Source organism: Homo sapiens, chromosome 2 (assembly GCF_000001405.40).
Source record: "Homo sapiens chromosome 2, GRCh38.p14 Primary Assembly".
In the NCBI taxonomy this organism is placed as follows: Eukaryota; Metazoa; Chordata; class Mammalia; order Primates; family Hominidae; genus Homo; species Homo sapiens.
Genome location: NC_000002.12, coordinates 187,459,840 through 187,483,618, shown reverse-complemented (window position 1 = coordinate 187,483,618; position 23,779 = coordinate 187,459,840). Strand labels below are relative to the sequence as shown.

The following is a 23,779-nucleotide window of genomic DNA, read 5'->3' as shown; positions in this document are numbered from 1 at the left end:
TTTTATGTTCTTGTCTGTTAACCTATTTATCAGATTTAAACGAATATACAGGAAATATTTCCACAAAATGCAGAGCTGAGAAAATAGTGAAAATACTGGAAAACATAATCAGGAACCACAAATATCTGGGCAGTTAGAAATAACATAAACAGCTAAAAATTACCAGTGTAAAATTGTTAGATCCTAGCTAAATTATAAAAATCACATATTCTTATTCAGATATTGAAGATTTTGTTTAGAAGTAGTCCATGTGAACATGTCAAAGGTAAACTTGGCATGTTTATATATAAACTTAGCCTGAGTGTGAAGAATTCTGTAACTATTAAAATTGCAATCTTAGGATTAAAATAATAATAAAAAAAAAAGAAACAGTGTTTGGGCCAGGAATTCTCTACCTTGGCCATTTATCAGAATCAGATTGGCTTTGAGCTACTCCTCTTTACAACAAACAAACAAACGAACAACTAAGCAAGCAAGCCAACAGAACGCAAACAAAATCCCTGCCCACGTGGATTTGAAGCATTAAAATGTTGACTCCGACTTTTCTAGAAAGAGTCTGTGAATGTTCAGCTGAGTCCCACAGTGATCTAATCATTTGTGGGTCTTGCTTCAGCACTGAATGTCACACCTTGGAAATCACAAGGAGGATTTGAAACATGATTAAAGAGGAAATGAAAAGTGTAAAGAGACATGAGATCTACGAGGGAGCATAATATGTGCTTTTAATAACTGAAACACTATTATGTGAAAGGAGAATTAAGTTCTCTACATGACTTACCCTTTAGTCCTGCCTATTTCACACCCTCCCCAGACCCCCATCCCCATCCTCCCTTATCCCCCTCAACCCAGCCTAAGCATGAGGATTAATGTGTGAGAACTAAAGTATAAATGCCTTTCTATAATATGTTTCTTTCTTATGTGAGATCTTAAAAAATTGATGGCTGTCTCAGGTATTAATAAATTCCCTAAATTGTAGGCATTCAATAAGTGTGCAATTAACACTTAAGAGGTCATTAAGGGGATGCAAACTTTCAGTGGGAGTTGGAAAATACGATATATTCAAAATGACTTCAGGTCCTTACATTCAATAGGTAGAGCAGTGAATTGAATGCCAGATGAACTTGAGTCTAATTTTTAAATACTACTTCGTTCGTAAAAATTAATACTTTTGTGATTCTGACTTATCTGAAAAATTAAGTACTATCGTTGCATTATTTCTTTATGTCTTTCCAGCTTTGTATTTTTCACTCGTATTTTGTTTTATTCAGTTATTATATTTTCAAAAGCACGTTAAATCTTACTGCTGTAAAAGAAAATTTAGAATGACTAAATTAACAGGTTTAAATATACATGTGACACAGTATATCAGTAAGTACAAGAAATGTATGAAATCAGTTTGCAACATGCTTGAATACTTTTGTTTGAATTATTTTACCAATTCAAGTGGAGATCTGCAGTCATTTATCATTAAAGTGAGTAGAGTAGGTTAGGGAATAATTTTGCCTTAAGTTTTTTTGAAGTATAAAATTTAAAATTTTTGGTAAGCATACTACCAAGTTAGAAAGGGCAAAATAAAAATTAGTGTGAGAAAGTAATATTAATGAGTTTTAAATGGCCTCTGATATGTCTTCTTTAGTTTATTGTGTAGATGCACATTGAAAATTGTAACAAATAAATAAATGCTTGTAAAAGTAAATTATTAACTAAGCAGTAAGAATTGACAACATGAATTTAAAAGAAAACAATATTAACAATAATTTATTCAGAATAATAGACATTTAAGGAATAATGTTATCGTAACTGCATTTAAAATTAGGGCAAATGTCTCCTTTATTTGTCTAAAAAACTGTTTTATTTTTGATTGTATATATTGGCCTCAAAATCAACATTCCTCCGGCCAATTTGACCCCTTTTCCTTTTTCTAAGAGCATTTCCTTCCCTTCCCTTCCCCGCCCCTCCCCTCCCTTCCCTCCCTTTCTTCCTTCCTAATCTAAAACATGAAACAATGTTGCAGTAACTAGGAGACATTTGATATTAAGGATGGCATAAGGTGGATTGTCAATGAAGCTATGTTGCCATTCTTCTTAAAACCTACGTGATTTCGAATCTGCCCCAGCCAAGATGCGGAAGTGGGAATGCAGATGTCCCTGTACTCTGTTCTAAAACCTAGATGACCCCTTGTCACTTCTGTCTGAGGGGTTTGCTGAGATCTACAGACACCTCTTAATTTCCCCAATCAAATATAATTACATCTGTCACTGCTTACAATTATATTAATACATTCTATTGTAGTTTAAGAAAATGCAATTCTTTGTTTACATAAAACTTTGTTTTTCAAGGGTTTTATCAAACGTGTAAAGTTCTCTGTGGTATCAGGTTATTTTGAAAAGCTGTAAATCCTTTAAAGTTTCAATTCAATGTACAGGAATAATAATCTGCCCCACAACATAAATGGAATACCAGTCTTTAAATTCTTTCCACTAAATAACAATCTTTAAGTAGAGTATTTGAATATTCTAAAATTCAATTATTATTAAGTGAAATATTTATAAATATAATTTTAATGTTTTTCTTCATGATATTATGGAAGCATTTTAGAAGTTTAGTTAAACATTATCATAATATGACTTTTTAAAAATTGCTATTTATTTTTAATTACTGGAATGTTGTAAATGGCTTTCAAGATATATTTTTCCAGTAAGCTTTCTTGATTCGAGATACTTGAATACTTACTAAGCACAATTCCGGTGTAATTTTTCTTTTTATTTCCACATTTCAATATTAACAAGTTATTTAGGTAATCTCAAAGACAGTCTTACTCTTCCTTAAAGAGATTTTAAATAATGATTTGTAAGCATATCCCTGAGCGTGAGTGCATTATTTCAGTTTGATTGGCTGTGTTGAGTATATCCATGTAGTTAAAATAAATGTGTGTTCTCTCCACCTGAAATATTTCTAAAGCAATTTCCCTAAATGTGTGCAATTTTGCGCATAAACGCTAGAACTGAAAGCCATCACAACTGGTTCTTCTTGATTTCCCCCATGATTGAAATAATGATATAGCAGATAAAAAACCTTTGAGCCTGAAGACATGCGTTAAATTCCCAACTCTTCAACTAATAGCTGTGTGACCCTAAGATATTTCTTAACCTGAGTTTCATCTTTCCAATGTAAAATGAGGATGGTAATATTATAGTACTAAGTTGATAGGTTGTGTTGTGAGGTTAAATCAGTCAAAATACATAACTTTCTTAGGACAGTGCCTGATATCTAGTCAGTTCGTGTAGGGTTACTCATTATTATTATCCATGTGATTCAGAGTAATACACTTAATTCACCAGGCCTTAGATTCTCATTTGTTAAACAACTTCTTTGTAAGTTCCCATTTGCAGAAGAAATTTATATTTCAGACACTCATAAAGTCTCTGGTTATTCAGATAAATGCATCAGTAAATATACAGTCTCAAAATCATGACTAATATTTTAAGAAGAATTCATACTAGAATTAAATTAATGCATATATGGAAACTCGAAGAGTTTGAATGTGTTCATTAGAAACAAGTTGAGATTATTGTCACAGAGGAGTATCATGGGGCTTCAAGGTCAAAAGATGTTTATTTGTATAATTGTTCTTTATCTTTTCGACATTTCCAACTTTCCGAACTTTTTGAGTTCTTCTACTGTTTTTCTGGTTATTCCAATTTGAATGATTAGTAATTTTCTTTGTATCACTTATATTCTTCCAGTCATTCATTAAATTTCATTGCTTTTTATGAAATGTTTATTTCTCTCTCTTCCATTTTCATTCCTATTTATTTCATTCAGATCATCAATCCTTCATGGTTAGATTCCCTAAACAATCATGTCATCCAATTTGGAACACTAATGATAGTTAAAGAGGGTGCTAAAAAATTAAGGTATATGTCTATTTTAAATATATGTATGCATTGACTTAAAAATGGAATTGTCGTTTTGGTGACTCTACAAAAATAGTTTTATATTTAAAAGTATTTCAGTATTTTTAAATCATATATATATATATATATATATATATATATATATATATATATATGAACGTGATATCCCCCCAAAATAAGCATAAACTAATAGGGGCTTAGGCAAACCAGGCTGTATAGACATGAGACAAATAGATAAATAAATAGATATCAGAAAGCTCAGATATGACTCAGATATTGTATATAACACATAATGTAATTATATATCTAACATAAGTAAACTAAAGCATATTAGAGAGAGAGAGACAAAAAGGAACAGTCATATGTAACAAATTATACATGACCTTTTTGACATCACTGTCCTATTTCTAGTCATCGATCATGTGGTAATTTAGCTTCATCCACTTGCCTAAAATTTGTCTGCATTGTCCACTAGTCCTCTATCTATTGCAGATATTTTCTGTCCCTTAAATATAACTTTTTTCCGTCCATTCAAATTGGCCTTTTCATTATCATTAAACACAAATTACTCACTCTTATTCTAAAGGATGTTTTATGTTATTTTCCCCACCTAAAATTGACTGACCCTCCTAATCTTCTTAACCAATCTGCCTTTTCACTACCATAAGGAGGCCTTCTTTCTGTCTCTCTCCCCTGGCTTCTTACTATGATTCCTTCAATACTTGTACTATTAGATATTGTGTTTGCTCTGCCTCACTGTCTAGATTACAAGATTTTTTTGAAGAAAAACATAATGTACTATACAGTTTATAGACTTCCCCCACCCTCAGCATTGACCACAGTGTTAAACATATAAAGATGACTCACATTTTTTATTTATCAATTTTGTGATCCACAGTTACAAAAGAAGGAACAAATGATGGTTGGAAGAATGCGGCTCATATTTACCAAGTCTTTCTGAACGCCTTCTGCATTCATGCATCCATGTTCTTTCTAGGATTGGATAGCATTTCATGCCTATGTTAATATTTGTGCTTTTGGCATTTCCTTAATATTTATATGTATACGTGATGCCTTTGATAGCATACTGCTAATAAAGTTTTAATATTTACATGCATAGTAAACATAGTCTTCTCACTGCACCTCACTTGTAAATGTCTAACTAGCAAAGAAAAATGAATATTCTCAGGAGTTCGTGCTAGTTGTGAGTCTTTTGACCGGACCTAACTATTCATGGAAAAAAAGTCATTTTTTTCCTGATTTTTATACATCCCTTTGCTTCCATACATCAACTATTTGTTTTTGTTTTGTTCTGTTTTGTTTTTTGTTGTTGCTGTTTTTGAGATGGAGTTTCACTCTTATTGCCCAGGCTGGAGTGCAATGGCGCGATCTCGGCTCACTGCAATCTCCGCCTCCCAGGTTCAAGGGATTCTCCTGCCTCAGCCTCCCGAGTAGCTGGGATTACAGGCATGTGCCACCACGCCCCGCTAATATTTGTATTTTCAGTAGAGACAGGGTTTCATCATGTTGGCCAGGCTAGTCTCGAACTCCTGACCCAAAGTGCTGGGATTACAGGCATGAGCTACTCTGCCTGGCCCCATACATCAACTCTTGAGAGGGGCCTTGGAACTACATCAGCTTTATGATATTCTGGGGGGAAGAAAATTCAGGTAGACTTAAAAAGCTACTGCCAACCCAATTCTAGTATTTGGCCACTGACTGAGAAAGGGAACTCCTATATACCTGACCCAGTTCCACATTGCCTCCTGCCAGCCTCCAGGTCCAGGGAAAGTAATTGGATGACATCCTGAAGATCCTTTTGCTACTTGAAACTCTATCCCTCTCCTGAATGTATTCAATGTATGACCTCCAGACATACATTCCATTTATGTGGAAAAAATAGAAAATAAAATCTATGCATACATAAATACATTTTTAAAAGATTTTTGTTATCACTAGCCTTCTGAAACAGGTGTTATGTTCACAAAGGGCCTAATGGACAGCCAAACACAATCACTGATATAATCAATTTATAAATCTGCATGAGATTGTTATTATCTCCTTGTTATTATCTCGCCTCTTGTTGAACGTGTGATTGCATGTAGAGGAATACTGAAACCATGAGAACTTTCTGGAGAGAAACTCTCCCTCACCGGCTAAAGAGTTCCACATCCAGCTGCATACCACAGGCCATCACAAGCACTGTTTACAGTTCTTAAAAAACGAACAAACAAACAAAAAAAACCCACTTCATCCACAGTCCACTTTCATAGTTCTAAAGAAGTATCTTGACTTTCATAATGTGTTCTAAGACCAAGAAGCACAGGAACATCCCTCATAATCTAAAGATGCCTGCATAGTAAATCTGGAGCCTCATATTCTGATTTTCTGACAAGTTGGCTTTCCAAAAATAGATAACAAGTTTTGGACAGCACCCAGCAAGTTTTCTACTTCCTGACAGGAATGCTGATGAGAAACAAAAATGTGGCACTTCATCTCTGCCAAAATCACTGCCATCAAAATGCAGTCACCCTAGATGACCACTGTCTACTTTTCTAATCCCTTTCTTCCTGGACCATCTTTAGTCTTAACACAAGATAATTTGTTGCCCCAGTCATAAAAGTCCTCCAGAGAAGTGTTTCTCAAGCTTGAATAATATATAGATATCTTTAAAAGGAAAAAAAATCACAGACTTCCAATTTGTAAGCCAAATTACTTAAAATAACTTTCATTTTGTATGAACCAGTAACATAGTAGGAATAAATTCATTATGATCATTATACAACTATAAACCAAAAATTGTTTACAAGTTAATACTATGCAAGCTACAAACTAATAAATAATACTAATTTGATAAGACTTCTTTTGCTTAAAAAAAAGAAAAATCCTTATTGTAATATGAATTTAATAGTGACTGGTGTAGGGCAGCTTAGTAATGTGGTAGAAATAGCTTAGACAAACTTGAGCTACTCTAAGTTGTGTGTAATTCTCTACCTTTTTTCTATTTGAGTAATGGAAAATCTTTGCAGAAATGAAATTAAGAAGTATTAATACAAAATGGTGGCTGGGTGCAGTGGCTCACTCCTGTAATACCAGCGCTTTGGAAGGCTGGGGTGGGAAGATAGCTTGAGCCCAGGAGTTCAAGACCAGCCTGGGTGACATGCAGAGACCCTCTCTCTACAAAAGATAAAATAATTAGCTCAGTATGGTGGCCTGTGATCGTAGACCCACTTATTCTGGAGGCTGAGGTGGGAGGATTGCTTGAGCCAGGGAGGTTGAGGCTGCAGTGAGCTGTAATTGTGCCACTGCACTCCAGCCTGGATGACAGCAAGACTCTCTCATAAATAAATAAATAAAATCTGTTGATCAGGAAAATTCCAACTCTGCCTCTTCTAGGGACACAGTGGAGTGGGGTTTCCAGTTTTTGATTATATCTAATCAAAAGTGGGGTTTCCAGTTTTGATTATATCTAATACCACTACATGGATCTGATTGACCAGTGCATTACATGGATCTGAGTGACCAGTGCAGATATGATCACATGGATGCAAGACTGGAACTTTGGTGTGGTTGTTTCTAGAATCAGTCCCTGTTGACCATGCCAACTCAATACTTGTTACTTTCAAATGTTCAAGCTCTCTAAATACTGTTTGAATCAGCACTGTTGCACCAAGATTTGTTTCTAGCCTCCTTGTATGATGACATATTTTGATTAGAACTCTTTCTCCTGTTCAAACTTAGGAAACTTCAACTTCATGTTTGTAACTGTGGACTATGGTACATTTAGCATGTTCTGAACCTGAGCTTCAGAAAAGAGGGAATTTGGACATCAGTTCTAAAGGAGAAGTTGTGACAATTTTATTTTTATCTGATAAAATTATTAAAATAGTTTTGCTCAGGTATTATTTTCTTAATTTTCTAGTTAGTTTTCAGAATGACATATCTTAGTGGTTGAGAGCATTGACGTTATAGAAAGAAAGATGTGGTTTTTAATTCCAGTTCTGCTATTTGCTGACTCAGTCTGTGGCCTTGAAAAAAAGATCACAAAATTTCGCTTGGCTTCAGGTTCCTCATTTGTTCTATGTGGCAAGAAGTATCTCAAAACTTTTGGAAAACTGTAATGAGACATAAAATTCTTAACCCAGTTGTTGAGCACACAATTAAAGCACAAAGTATTAATTTTTGAGGTTGTTTTCAATGATGATGATGACGACCTATTTTCATCCGAGGTTTATAGTCAAAAAATGAGTACTATTTGTATACATTTTGTTATTGATCATTTTTAATGAAGCTAAAGTCTGTAACCTTGATCTGACATATCTTCATTTAACAAATTTTATTCTAAGTTTCTTTGAAATAACATATATAGCACTTGAAAATTCAAACATAATTATACATATTTTTTGTCTTTGGATCTTATAACTAATTGAAGGACATATACACCTATATTTTCAACTTTATCTTATGACCTAAGGTACAGATCTGTGTACTTCCTAATTTCAGTTCATTTCAGCAAACATTGAGTGTCTCCTACACGGGACTACCATAGGTACTGGGAGTATGAGAATAATAAAAGTGTAAGTTTGTCCTTTATAGGTGTTTTTGTCAAATAGGGAAGAAGATAAATAAATAGGTGACTTCAATGCCTGTGTTACGTGCTAAGACAGAGACCTGCACAAGGGTTACGGGAGAACAGAGTCACAATAACATTTTACATTCATTAAACAATGTCATAATTAAAATATTCTATCTTCTCAAAACTTGAGCTCTATCTTCATCTTCCACTTCAAACTCGTTTGCCTGGATGCTGGCTAACCCATGGACATAGTCTACAATTTCCTCTTTATATTCAGATATTTTTCTAAGTAAAGCCACAATGAATAAAAGCCACCAAAATTTACAAAAATTACAACTATTATAAGTAGAATTTATTCTATAATGTTTCATAACATGTTAGACAAGTATTACATCTTCTGAATGTAGAAACACTAGAATTATTTCATCTCTAGCTCTCTACCTGCCCAAATTCAATCTGGTGCTTAATTTTAGCTACTCCCATGGTAACTGCTTCGGTTGTGGTAATTTTATATTCTTCTCTATTAGAAGTTACTGGATTCAACCTAAGCATGCCTGGTTGAGTTTGCTTCATGTATTCAACAAGATCAGAACTTGTATTTTCATTATTCAATAATTTCAGTGGCTCTTTAATGTCTGCATTATAAAAATCTAAATATAATAGTATTCAAGAATCTTCTTAATTTGACCTAAATGTAATTTTCCAGCCTTGTATCCCACTATACTCTTTTTTGTGTTATGTTCTCCAGATAGCCTGGAGTTTGCGAAGTACCCCCAAGCAAACCAGAAACATTCTGACCTTTGTGTTTTCACTTTCCTTCACCCATATGCTTCTCTGTATTCTCTGCTTACTAAAATCCCATTCTTCCTAAAAAGCTGATCAACAGACTAAATGTTAATTTTTTACTTTTACTAAAATTTTGTAGGGCTTAAAATTTTACATATATGTCATGAAGAAAGTTTTTCTAATGCATTATAAGATATAATTATCTTAGAATAAAGTATACTCAATAGCTGTATAATCTATAATTTTACCATGGCTTTCTTTCTTTGTGGCCTTGCTTAGACAAATCCCTGAAGAAACATGACTTTATGGACTCTGTCCATGGATTACGCAGTATCTAGGCAATGAAATCCAACCCAGAGAACATCTACCCAATTTATTTCCTTCCCTCTTAATATGTGGAGGGAGTTTCTGTCTGGGCAGGTTTTCACTCAGTCTATTCTTTATGACCTTTCAATTTTAAGTTCACTGGCAACCCTCCTTCTATACTTTATCCTCAGGTAAGTGGCCCAGTATACACATGCGGGGGGAAAAAAAAAAGCTCCACAGTGCTTGTTTTTCCATTCCCTTCCCCGTTTTTTTTTTCTTTATAGAATATCACTTTCCACCAATTTAATACCACTTCTCCTGATTAATGAATAGAGATACATACTCTTTCTTTTTTACAGAGAGAGGGACAAGTTTACCACACATTCCTACTCAGAAACAGATTCCAATCTCTAATCTCTAGGCTTTTATCTATTACCTCAGGACACTGGACTCACTCTAACATATTATTTCTATCATATATCTTGAGCATTATGATTGCAAAGAATTTGAATAAAAAAGAAAATAAAAGAAGAAAAACTGGCCATATCCACATTATGCAGAAACAATCACTGTTGGCATTCTAGCATATCTCATTTACTATTTTCTTGTATTTTTTTTCAACTTACCACAAAGTAAATAAAGTTCAAGACTGGAAGTAGCTGCTGGAGGAGCCCGAACAATATAGAATAAGCTCAGCATAAAAGTATCTTTTTGTAAAATTTAACCTAGCAAATCTCTAAGCTCCCTACCTAATAAAGCTATCTCTATAGTAATCATCCTCCCAACTGATTGCATGTCCTCTTAAATATTTGCCCAATGGATACATATATAAATTCTATTCTCATTTATATGTGCTTGTATATATATGTATGTATTGTGTGTTGGTACAAAATATAAATTATTATATTTTCTTGATTCTAACATGCAGGTTTTTCTACCTTTTAACATGATTCTAATGATGATGAAACTTATAACTGATAGTGTATAACAGTGTAATTATGTTTTTCTTTCTTTTTTTTTCGAGATGGAGTCTTGTTCTGTTACCCAGGCTGAAGTGCAGTGGCTCAATCTCAGCTCACTTGCAACCTCCACCTCCGGAGTTCAAGTGATTCTCCTGCCTCAGCCTCCCTAGTAGCTGGGACCACATGCGTGTGCCACCACGCCCAGCTAATTTTTGTATTCTTAGTAGAGACAGGGTTTCACCTAGTTGGTCAGGCTGGTCTCAAACTCTGGACCTCAGGTGATCCACTCACCTCGGCCTCCCAAAGTGCTGGGATTACAGGTGTGAGCCACCACGCCTGGCCGTGTCTTTCTTTGTTTATGAATAGTACATAAAATAATAGTGCATCTTCAAATTAATGACATTTGGATTTCATATAAATGATATTTCATATAACATTTGGCAAGCTATAAGCAGTTTCTTGTCCCACATAGTACTCTTCTACTTTTGTTGGCATGGGGAAGAAAAAAGTGTTGAATAGGAGATAAATTCATAGCAGTAAGGTCCATGGTTTGCTAAATGGTTTAGGCACTTTAAATGTCGTTGTAGGCATATAAATTTGTGAAAAGTTTCAGTGGAAAATTCAGCAACATCTACCAAGTTATAAATTGAATATAGATTTTGCATAATTCTAATTTTAGAAGTATGTCCTCTGGAAGCACCTGAACCAGTGTACATGGGTGTTCATGAGCCACTGTCTGGTACTGAAAAAAATAAATTATAATAATCCATATGTCCATTTGACTAAATATACTGTAGTCAACTCATAAAATGAAATACTGTACCTACATTAAAAAGAGTGAGGCCTATATAAAAATGTGGAGACACAGCCACAAAATATTATCAAGTATAGTAATATAGAATATTATATTAATACATTTGAATATGCAAACAATTTGGAGATATGTAAACCATTGGTAGTGGTTAAAGGGCAAGAATCAAATTATGGATAAATTTTGTTTTACATTTGTTATACTTTTATATTATTTCAAAGTTTTACAAAGATAATTTGCAGTAAATAATTTATATTTCTCTTTACTACAAAATTATAGAGAAAAAAACTTTAAAAAAGATTTGTTATTCAATTCCCTAAAAAGTCTTAGAAGAATAAAATAAATGTACTTAACAAGTTGTAAGATATTTCTTAAAACCTAGTTTGTTTAGTAAAACAAAAGCCTAAGTAGGCAAGCCAAATGGGAATCATAAAAAAGATACCACAGTAAAGATTCAAAGTGAATATATGATTCAAAGTTTACTGTACAAATCTCAAAGCAAATTTACATTAACAACTTTACCTGTAAAACTGAGTTTAGAGCACCATCTTACAGTTCAGCAGTCACACTAGATCATGATAGTTCCTGATTTAAAAAAAAAAGTGTACCCTGAATTCTGAAACCTATCAAAAACCCTGTAGACAGAAGGTACACAACTGGTTATTAATGGCAGAATCAAGACAGAATGCATTTGATTATTAAATTCCCTTTGGAAAAACAACAAAAGTCAGGTTAGTGTCTTTTTATTCTATCTTAACTTTCTGTCAATAATTATAATCTCAACTAAAAAAATTACATTTCGCAAAACCTTTATATTTTCTTTCATTGTAGATAGCAAATTCTGGATTTTGAATAGATGAGTGCTGATCTATATGTAGAATAAATTTGCTATTTGGAAACAATGAAGTTTTTCTCTTCAAGAAGTGAAAAAAATTCAAATGGAACTAAAATGTTCTTAAGAAACCATTTGCTTCATTACTTTAATTTTACTGTCATTTATGGTATAGTAACCCAATGATAGTCTTACTGCTCAGAGTTAAAATGATCTTAAGATAAATGAATTAGTTTACGTATTAGGTAAAATTTATGTTCTGAAGAATAACCGCCTTATAATGATTCCTTAACTGACAATAATTTATTGCATCTTTAAAAACCTCTAAAAGTTAATTACACATAATACAATATCCTTAGTGATTAACTTCACATTTTAATGCACTATCGAAATATTGCCATTTCTAGTGTTAGGAACCTCACTGTTGATCTGGGTCAAAACTCTGTTGTGTTGAATGATCTGCGTAAGCAGTGGTTGAAATCAGGGCAAAGTAAGATAGATAAACAACTGACATTGCATCAGTCATGGACAAGTAGGAGCAAGTATCTGATTATAGGTGCATCTGCATACCAAATCCCAGGCTGTCAGAAGCAGCATGCCAGACACCCTCTGATTCAGAAGTCATAAAGAGTGTCAGTAGAGGCAATCTGATGCCTTGGATAATTTAGTGAAGTTTTCTCTGCTGGCATCTATGCTGGTCAACTGTCTGTTTGCTCTCAAACCAATCCCCTGCTCATGTGGTTTTATGGGGAACTTTCTCCTCTGGCTTCTGAAAGGATTTGGTAAATGGCAGGCCTTGTTGGATGACTGGATAGTCAAAGGAAGACTGAAGCTAGCATATGTCTCTCCACCACATCTGTGGTGTATCTTCCATGGTTTCAGCTTCAATGGAAAGGCCCAAATGGTTCTAGGATTCACCTGCTGTTCTTGGTCTATGATAACAGAGGCTCCTCTTCTCATACGTCCAATCTAGGGACTGTAGCCCCATATGTACTAGCCTAGCTTTTTCCCATTTTGAAATAACCTTGATTTTATGATTGGGCCATGTTTACTATAGGTTGTATGTGGGAAAAGAGAAGAAGTTTGCTCCCTGTCATCAGAAAATTTTCTCTGTTCTGGAATAAGGGGGCTTGATGTCTGGCATTGCTATTTAGACGTAACAACTAACATTTGCAAAGAAGGATACAACTTACAACCACATTCACACATATTATCTGCAACTTACTGTGGGCAGATATATCTTACATACAAAATGCTAAAGTGAAATTGATGTATAAGTCATATATCATTTTATCATACACATCTATTTCGAAGTTACTGTGGGTGTTTAAACAGGAAAAAAAGCGATAGTAATTTCCTGTTTTCTCTGTTTCTCAAATTAGGTTAATTGCATCTAGTGCATCTCTTTTGTTTCTGAACATAGGTGATAACTGGAAGCTCATGAGATCAAAGTGGTGGCAATTAATAATCATTTTATATTCTACACTGTGCAAGGATGATGATAATACACATCCCACACATTGGAAAAGTGTGTACAATAGTACAAATCAATTACAATATAACTCTCCTAGACTGCTAGAAAATTCCTCTAATATAAATGATTCTTAGTGACAGGAAATGTCAACATTTTCTAGAATGTCTAGCACACATTCTCACCATTCAACTTTGATTTATGATGGCATATCATCATGTCAAAGGATACAAAATACAGGCATGTAGGATAAATAAGCCTAGAGATCTAATGTACAACATGAAGATGACAGTTAGTAAAACAGTATTGTGTTAGGGATTTCTGTTATATAAGTAGATTTTAGCTACCCTTGTCACACACACAAAAATGTAACTGTGAGAAGATGGGTATGTTAATCTGCTTCACTACAGCAACTATTTTACTATCTATATGTATCCCATAACATCATTTTGTAAACCTCACATATACACAATAAAAATTATTTTAAAAATCACGCACTATAATCCCCACATAGGAGAAGGTAAAACATAAAGGGCTACATATGATTTAAAACGATGTTTTCATTTTACAAATCCTAGAAGGTCTTCTTAAAATCACTGCATATATACCTAGTCAAAGACCTAAGTAAAACTAAATACTCTTTATTTGATTATAGTTCTGATATCTTATTGATATAGTTTGGCACAAAAATATCACCTGTCTCAAATTTCTTCTCATAAATTATTCTCACAGTATTCATTCCCTCTCATATTTCCCAGAATATTTTTTATTACCTGAGTTACTATATCAAGACACTCTAGTCCTTATTTAAATATCTAGAAGGCAGGAGGTGGTAAAAAATGTTTATATCAATTTGAGATTTTTTTTCATTTTTTTCTCACTTTGTTTTATTTCTTTTCTTTTACAGTCTGTTCATCTGGGGTTTATTTGCCAAAAGACTGCTTCTTGCTTAAAGCACAATCTATTCACCTTCATTAACTACTGGATTCCTCAAAGTTCTATTTTCTGCTAATATTGGACATTTAGCAAATCTTCCTCCTCTGTATTTGCTTGTATCACATCTCACCATTTGACAAAGCCATTAAAGTTTTCTTGTATTGATTCCTTGCCATACAACTTACCTGTAGTACTGGTTTATTAACATCAAGCAGTTTAGCTGTGCTACCGAAGAGTACTCGGTGCCCCTCACTGACAGTAATTCCCAGAGAGCTAAAAACTAACATTCAGCTGAAACTAATTTCTCTTTTGATTTGGCAAATGAGTGCTCCTTTTATTACCCTAATTGTATTTTTCTCTTCTGTTTTTGAAAACCATTGATTGATCCCATTGACAAACCAGCTTATCTGTCTGATCCAAATCAATTTGCTTCCTTTGCAAAAACATTTAACTCATCTAGAACTAAGCTTCAAATATGAGAAAAAAAATGCTACCAAGACAAACAACTCATCTGGACTCATTCCTTGAAACTTAAAACTTGCCATACCTGAATTCCTCCACTTTAAACTGTGCTTGTATTACATCAGTCAGCATGTGCTTAGTCAAGAGAAGTAACTCTTCCTCAGCTTCAGTGTTTTTGTTACATCACAAATAAAAACTTTGCTCATTAGAATTTTTTAAAGCCAAATATTTGTGAACAAATGATATGTAAATTAATATATATGTGTGATGTGTGTGTGTGTGTGTGTGTGTGTGTGTGTGTCTGTAAGAAATTTTCAGCAGTTACATTGTTGAAGAGTGGTTTTTATTATGTACAAATAGTTTGTTCATATAAAGAGTAATCATAACACTTCTCTTTAGCAAATGAGATTTTTTAATTCATTGGAGAAAGATCTCAATATACTGGACACATGGTTTTGTTAAGCATTTTCCTAGAATTGAAATGCACGAATTTTATTAAATACCCCTTTATTCAGATTACTGTTTTACATACACATGCAACAACATTAATCTATAAACAATATACAATACGAAAACCTGAAATCCACTATCACATATGGCTTACCATGTTTTCCTGATTGTTTTTAGAATTTCACGGTCCCTCATGGTGTCTCACTCCAGCAGACAGAGGATTGTGTCGTGCCAATGAGAACAGATTCTACTACAATTCAGTCATTGGGAAATGCCGCCCATTTAAGTACAGTGGATGTGGGGGAAATGAAAACAATTTTACTTCCAAACAAGAATGTCTGAGGGCATGTAAAAAAGGTATAGAAGATACTCTTCCCATTAATTGACTAGTGTTTAAGATAGCAATTGAATTGAAATGATAATCTATTAAGATATGAAATTAATTATCTTTATTATAAGAAAGTATAATCTAGCTAATAAATGTCCTCTTCAATTACATTTAGATAATATTGCTAGATATGTAACTGTAATTTCTTTTAATGTCCTCATAGAAAAAGAATCAATTTAAAACAAATTAAACATGTTATTCTTTTAGTGTTCAAATACTAAGCATTCACTTTAAAAGACTATACCAAAATTGTTTTAAGCTTTCTTGTAATGCACAAAATTTTAACATATTTATTAATGTCTTCTGAATATAAAAGTAATGCATGTTTATAAAAGACTAAGAAGAGTATAAAAATGCAAATAAAAACTATCTGTAACTTAATCAACCACATACAACCACATTTCTACTATTTAAAAATAAAGCAAGCATGGATTTGTAACAGAAGAGGAACTAATAATAAAAATGAACGGCATGCTTATCCATTTTTATTAACTCATATATGCAAAGTAACGTCCTTAAAAATAAATTGTTCTACACGAATACATGGACAAATTAAAGGCTTTTAAATCAATAACATCTTTTGGATTTAAATATTAAAAGTTACTTTGAGAAGATTTTAGATAAAACATTTCATTGTGTTATTTTATCACACATTAATTTATTCCTCTTCCTCTTATAGGTTTCATCCAAAGAATATCAAAAGGAGGCCTAATTAAAACCAAAAGAAAAAGAAAGAAGCAGAGAGTGAAAATAGCATATGAAGAAATTTTTGTTAAAAATATGTGAATTTGTTATAGCAATGTAACATTAATTCTACTAAATATTTTATATGAAATGTTTCACTATGATTTTCTATTTTTCTTCTAAAATGCTTTTAATTAATATGTTCATTAAATTTTCTATGCTTATTGTACTTGTTATCAACACGTTTGTATCAGAGTTGCTTTTCTAATCTTGTTAAATTGCTTATTCTAGGTCTGTAATTTATTAACTGGCTACTGGGAAATTACTTATTTTCTGGATCTATCTGTATTTTCATTTAACTACAAATTATCATACTACCGGCTACATCAAATCAGTCCTTTGATTCCATTTGGTGACCATCTGTTTGAGAATATGATCATGTAAATGATTATCTCCTTTATAGCCTGTAACCAGATTAAGGAATACAGCTCTTAAAAAATCAAGAACTTCCTGAGTTTCACATATAAAATGGTGACAAACACCTGCTTCTGATAAAGTTTATCCAATTTTGTATTTATAGTATTCTATTGTAATAATAGAATTCTATTATGTGCTTCCCTCCTTAGACATAGTTTTTCTCCTTTTGTACTAACCAGTACTTCCATCTATATTGAGCTAAACTGTCTTTGAACAGTCAACTCTGCATCATGTGCCTGCCTGATTTGGATTGGTTTCACTTTTTTTTTTGTTTGACCATAGCCCATTCTATCAGTCAAGATGACTGAATAATTGTGTGTTAAATACAACTCATGATAAGGAGAACCTTTATGGAAACAAGAAGTTTTATGGCAATCGAGAGGGAATTATTTATATGTACTTCTTAATACTATGCTTCCCAATATTTTTTCTTACTAAAAATAACAAAAATATTTAAACCTTCTGAAATCTATTCAGTTATCATTAGGATTTGCACACAATGCAACTAATAATTCATGCTTTAAAAAGTAGGTTATTTCTGTTGAAGAGAAAATTATCAGCAGGGAAGAGTCTACTAGAAAATTCATGTGCTAGTCATTCTTGGGGATTTAATATTTTGCTGGAGTTAATTCACTATATCCAGACCTGTATCTTTCATTTATTGCTGAGCCATGTGCAGTCTGGCATCTCAACAACCTCAACAACCTCAACAACCTCCAAGACATGTCAGTTTCTGTAGTGTTCACCTCAAATCTGACACTGGAATTGGAACTGATTTAGAAACAACCATTTCATTCATTTGGTATGACTAGCTTCATGACTAGCTTCATGAATAGCTTCATGAATAGCTTCATGACTTCTCGCTAACAATGATAGTATAATTCTGCCTGTTCTTCAGGATTGAAATTTTGAACTCAATTTAGATTTCCTGTTTTCCCTCATATACCACATCTAAACAGTCTCCAAATCTTTATGCTTTTTTTTTTTTTTTTCGAAAAAGTTCACCCAATCCCTAGGCTTTTTACTTTTTTCTTTTTCTTTTCTTTTTTCTTGTTTTTTTTTTTTTTTCATTTTGTTTTGTTTTGTTATGTTTTTTTAGACAGGGTCCCACTCTGTCACCCAGGCTGGAGTGCAGTGGTGCAATCACAGGACACTGAAACCTCCCACCTAGCTGGGACTAGAGGTGCAGGCCACCACACCAGCTAATTTATGTAATTTTTGTAGAGACGAGTTTCACCACGTTACCTAGGCTTGTCTTGAACACCTGGGCTCAAGCAATCTTCCAGCCCCAGCCTCCCAAAGTGCTGGGATTACAGGTATAAACCACAATGCCCCCGTTTTTACTCTTTACTGCATCCTTCCCATCAGTATTAATTCCTCAGAAATTTAGTACATTCCTCCACCATTTCAAAATGCTCCCAGAACTCACACTAGTTGGTACTTAACTACAACCTTCAACCTCACCATTTAATTTTGATGTATGTTTTTGGATTTACCAACAGTACTTTCTTTCATGACTACTTTGATTTAGTTAAGAATGCTCACTGTACACTGAATGTTAATTACTCAGCTAATTCACACTGATTTCCTGTTTAAAAATATGATCCCCTCCAGGCCATTCATGTGAAGTCAGGGTACAGCTGATGCCAGCTACAGAATCACTATGTTTCAATATGGAATATGAAAAGTCCTAACACATAATTGCAAATCATTTTCTACTATGGTATACAAATTTTATCATTACAAAATAGTATCAGCTTTTTTCACTTAAGGAAAATAATACATCTTCATTCAAATATTCAGTGCATAAATAATTGCCTTAAATTGAGTCTTTGCTGTGGAATTTGAGAGTTTTGGAAATCAAAGGCCCTTGTGAAACATTTCCTGTTGCCATTTATTTATAGATAGCAATAGCTTCAAATGAGTGGGAAAGTCTACTTAGGTGAAGTGGTAAATAGTCACTAAGATTGTATAAATAGCGCATTGATGAGTTGCCTAATTGTTTTCTCCAACAATAACCACTGGTCCATTGGTTCACTACTTACTCAAGAAAGACATATACTGAGATGGCTTGAAATGTTTAATGCATGTGAACGTTATTTTTACCGTGTTTTGGAAAAAGATCTTGATGTTATTGTCTTCCTTTATTTTCCACAATTAAGTGCATCTAACTGTGAATTGTATATGGAATTACATTATTCAGCATATACATATATTTACCTGCTTTGTTCATTCTCTGTATTCAAAATTAACAGATCATGCTGAAAACCACTCAAACGATTATATTTTTTACATTATAAGAAGTAAAATATATTATTCTGAATAATGAAACCTGGCTGTTGTACTCGTAAAGATTTTAGTACATAAAGAATTCAATGCTCATTAGTTATCATAACGGTACAAAATCTTAAGACCAAAAATGATTGTTCCCACACTCTGGTTTTATTTCCTTAAATTGGAATTGTTAATAGCTGCCTTTTAATTGCAAGTACACACCCATATATTATAATTTATTTGTCAAACAAATTAGTACACTATGTCCTAACAATCTATACATTTAAAATTTACTCTGCTACATATATATTTTCATCACTCATTTCATATACAATTGTATGAATATAGACATGTATATTTAAATATATGTTATATAACTATACATTACATAACTTCCTATCCTGGCTATTGTATTTGGCCTAGCCCATCTCTATATCAGAAGAAAAAAAATCATGACACTAAACTAGCTAACTAGGCTGTTGGTTGATTCTGTCATCAGCGGCTCCTGCTCTTACCTGGTTTTTAGCAAATTAGCAATTTTATTTAGTGTTTCCAACTTTTGACTTTAAGTGCTTTCTCAGGGACTTTGGCTGGGATGTACTTTAATCACTTTCCCCACATTTTGCTAGGTAGAACAGAAAACCTTGCTTTTGTTGGTCCTGCAGGTCCAGTTTCTGAACTACTTACAACCACATAGCTAGTTTCTTGGTTAGAATTACTCAGAGTACTTATAAATATAAGAAATATTTAGATAGTAGGTGCATGGTAATTTATTGTACCAGGAAAAGGGAGACAGAGAGAGACTTTAACCTTATAATAAATAAAATGGAGCATTAGGACAATGAATATGATTTCCTCATCAATTCAGCCACAGATTGTAAAATTTCTAGCCCAATCAGTTTGAAATAAAACAGAGATATATTTGAATCACAAAACTGAAAAGACCAGAGGAATTTGATTTTAGTATAGATAGATTCAGGGTCGCATATTAGGTCAATAAAACTCAGTCTATCTTTGGCTCATGATTCTGCTGCTCAATATATTCTGCCTTTATTTTCTAGTTGCACAAGGTTTCAATATGACTTTCAGAATTTAAGGTCCACATCTTTTCAGGGTAAAGTCTTCTAAAAATTTTTGGATTCTCCTACCTCAGAGAATTGAGTTAAAGTCCTGGCTTCGCGCTCATTGACCCAAATGTCTTAGGTCACCTTTGAACCTAACATCTTGTTTAGAGAGATATGACTGTCTGATTGACCATGTTGATTCACAAGTCCACTCCTAAATATCTTTCTCGTGTAAACACTATCTGAAACTTGTAATCTGACTAGCAGGGCTGGGACTAGAGTGAGGCAAGTGAGGTAATCTCTTCAGGCACAACATTTAAGGGAACGTTAAAAAATCTCAGTAACCAAGATAAATAATATGGTAATGCAACATGTTTAAAAAATTAAAATTATAGCAAACATCCATGATAAATAAAATATCAGAATTTAAAAAGACAGGATCAATAACCAAGTCATATTGGAATCTAAGGCAAAAGGAAAAACTAGTAATACTAATAATTTTTAGTAAATGTAAAATATTTCAAATTTAACTATTGTTTAATATAATAAAAATACTATAAGGTAAATTATTATTATCAATGGAGAAAGAAAAATCCTTTAATGAAAGTTAATGCTTGTTTAATGATTAAAACTTTTAGCAAACTAAAAAAGATACCTGATAATATGAGGATGGATATCAACCAAAAACATACAATAGCATGACGCTGTGTTAAAATTTTAAGAACATTTCCACTAAAGTCCACTACCTGTGCTATGCAACAGTCAAGCAATCTTAATTCATAACTAATGCAAAAAGGCAAGGAACAGAAATTAGATATAAATATTACATTATATTTTAGTTATATAATATGCTTATCATAATTGAAAATTCAAGATAATCTGAAGCACAACAATTAGAAATAAATAATACTGGAGTTTAGCAAGGTTGCTATATGAAAGTTGAACATACGAAATTGAAATGGGAAAAGTTCCCAGATCCGGAAAGGGACATGTGATGGGGGAGGGGCTTGCTTCTTCAGTGCCCGGCTGCTCAAACCTCTAGGGGAGCATACAGACAAACAGTCCATGGGGCTCTAACCCCACGGCAGTGACTAGAGGTGGATGTTTACAGCTCCTGAAGCCCCAGTGGGCGTGTGTTACAGGGTGCTCTTTTAGTTTTGCCGTCTACAGGCTTGTGTTAACCAGCTCATAGACCCGCTTACTTACCACAAGGACGGAGGGATTTCTGTATCCCAGGGTTTCCTGCCGTGGTGTACCGGAAGAACCAGATCACGCGAGGGCTTGGAGAATGAGTCCGAGGTTTTACTGAGTAGAAGTAGTTCTCAGCAGATGGGGGAGCCAGATGGGAGATGCACCAGGGGTCCCTCTGCTTAGCGGCCCGTGCTCTCCTCCTCCTGATCTCGCTAAACTCCACATCGTTCCTCCAGTCAATGGCCTGCTGTCCTGCCAGTGTCTGTCATGTGCTCTTCCACTGGCATGCTCCCCTCGACATCCTCTCGATGTCCGGCTGCTTGTGTCTTCTTCCGCTGATCCCCTCCTCTGGACGTCCAGACGCTTGTGTATCTATCTGCCTGCTAGGGTCTCAGTTTTTATCCGCCCAGGATGGGGGTGTGGTGGGCCAGGGTGGTTTTGGAAAATGCAACATTTGGGCCCAAAGGCAGGAGTGCCTGTCCTCACCTAGGTTCGTGGGCACAAGCCAGAGGGTGAAGCCCTAGCCAGGAACCGGCCTTGCTCTACCCAGCACTTCCCTGTCCCCCGTTCGGTATCATTTAAAGGGACCATGCTCGTCCCTTCCCAGCACTCCTGTATCAAAATCAATAGCATTTCTGTACACTAGGAAAAATGTACTAGCCACAATAGAACAGAAACCCTAATTTGCCCAACAGTAAATCCCACAAAAGATGATTTTAAAAACTTTTAGATAAAAAAATCTTATATTGAAAATTCAAATATGTTATTGAAGTACATAAATGGAGCTAAATATTTTCCTGTTTGTTGTAACTTCTATAATTAGTATTCACAGAGAAATCAGCCAATGATAACACTAGGTTATAAGAAAGAAACTCTTGGTAATTAAAATGAAATAAATGGTTTTTTAAAATCAAGAAATAGAAGATAAAGTTAAAAAAAAAAATCTCTAAGCTTTGGAAAGAAGAGGTCATTAGGATGGAAAAGAAGATAGAAAAGATAAAATTTCGCAATTAGTTCAGGTGCCCTACCTTGAAGTGTCAAAAGGATCTGGAAAATAGCAGAGATAAATAGAGGGGAGAGACATCTTACAGAAAAAGAATAACAGAGATTCCCTTCACTGAAATGGTGTGTTGTACCCAACAAAGGGTAACCGCCTGACATACCCCCTCTGCACACACATGAAATTTCAAATTCTAGTAACGAAGAGAAAAGTCCTAAGAACAGGAGACTGTGGAGGGATAAGTCACATACAAAGAAATAGAAATAAAAAGGAATTGTATATTTCCATGACAGTAATGGAAGGAAGCCACAAGACAGTTGAATGTAGAAGTCTGAGGGATGGAGAATGGCTATTTACTTGCTAGAAGTCTGTTTGTACTAACTTATCTTTCAATTATGTGTGTGTAGTGCTTTGCTGAAAGATGGGAAAGAGGCTTTGGGAAAAAGTTTTAGAATATAAACTAAGAGATACTGTTTCTAGTACCAGTACTAACCTAGTGGATGAATTTTTTTGACCATCTAATTTCTCTGGCCCCATATTTACTTATATTTAGAATGAGTGTTTTGGACTAGACTGGTTATATAAACAAGTTTTTTGGTTTGGGTAATTTTAAGATTTTATGGCAATACTCTCTATTTAAAAGTATCTAATACCAACATATGTTAAGCCAAAAAAAAATGGAGAGATGTTCTGTGATTAAAAAATAAAAATCAACATTGGCCGGATTCTACTGTTAGCAATATCCATACCCCCCCCAGCATAAGGTTGTTATGTACAGTAGTCTTCTATATTCTTCAAAAATAGCCTATGCTGATGGAGCTTGACATCTTCAAACTGACTATACCTACAATTTCCTTTTCCAGTGCCTGATTAATTCCCAAACATCAAAAGATTTTATGAGAAGCTTCCAAGTAATTACCTTACAGGAGGTCCCACATACTGTGGGATTTTCTGAATGCCTTAATAATGGGTTTTATAATCAAAAAACATTTCTGAATCCATTAACTTTTTCTTTCTCAATATTATATATATCGTAGGGAAAATAATATATGTGGATCTGATTTATACTACTCATCAAGGCGTTTCAACCTCATGAGAAGTTTTGAAATAATTTTTAGACCGTTTTTGTCTCTTAAGTATTCTAAAAAAGCAAGCCAAATTTAATTAAGAATAATTAACTAGAATTAGATTT

The 23,779-nt window shown here is 33.8% G+C and overlaps 1 protein-coding gene and 1 long non-coding RNA gene across 16 annotated transcripts in view, besides 2 other annotated features; one reads left to right on the top strand and one right to left on the bottom strand.

The window, feature by feature from the left end:
* TFPI (tissue factor pathway inhibitor) overlaps window positions 1-19,389 on the top strand; it is a 90,206-nt gene extending 70,817 nt beyond the window's left edge. For 10 of the 13 annotated variants that reach the window (NM_006287.6, NM_001329240.2, NM_001329241.2 and 7 more), the window contains 2 exons: window positions 15,687-15,866; window positions 16,577-19,389. In NM_006287.6, the coding sequence (NP_006278.1) occupies window positions 15,687-15,866; window positions 16,577-16,683 (287 nt within the window). In that variant the 3' untranslated portion in view covers window positions 16,684-19,389. Of the gene's footprint in view, window positions 1-4,815; window positions 5,042-15,686; window positions 15,867-16,576 lie in introns of those variants that run through there. The other 3 variants (NM_001032281.4, NM_001318941.3, XM_047445623.1) reach the window with 1 other exon arrangement.
* Window positions 1-23,779, bottom strand: part of CALCRL-AS1 (CALCRL and TFPI antisense RNA 1) — a 544,253-nt gene that overhangs the window by 63,907 nt on the left and 456,567 nt on the right. The window lies entirely within an intron of this gene.
* Window positions 18,531-18,731: a silencer, noted in NCBI's record as "peak3984 fragment used in MPRA reporter construct". NCBI's record gives its function as "represses an SCP1 promoter by STARR-seq MPRAs in K562 erythroleukemia cells {active_cell/tissue: K562}" and the evidence as "EXISTENCE:reporter gene assay evidence [ECO:0000049][PMID:32103011]".
* Window positions 22,791-22,991: a silencer, noted in NCBI's record as "peak3983 fragment used in MPRA reporter construct". NCBI's record gives its function as "represses an SCP1 promoter by STARR-seq MPRAs in K562 erythroleukemia cells {active_cell/tissue: K562}" and the evidence as "EXISTENCE:reporter gene assay evidence [ECO:0000049][PMID:32103011]".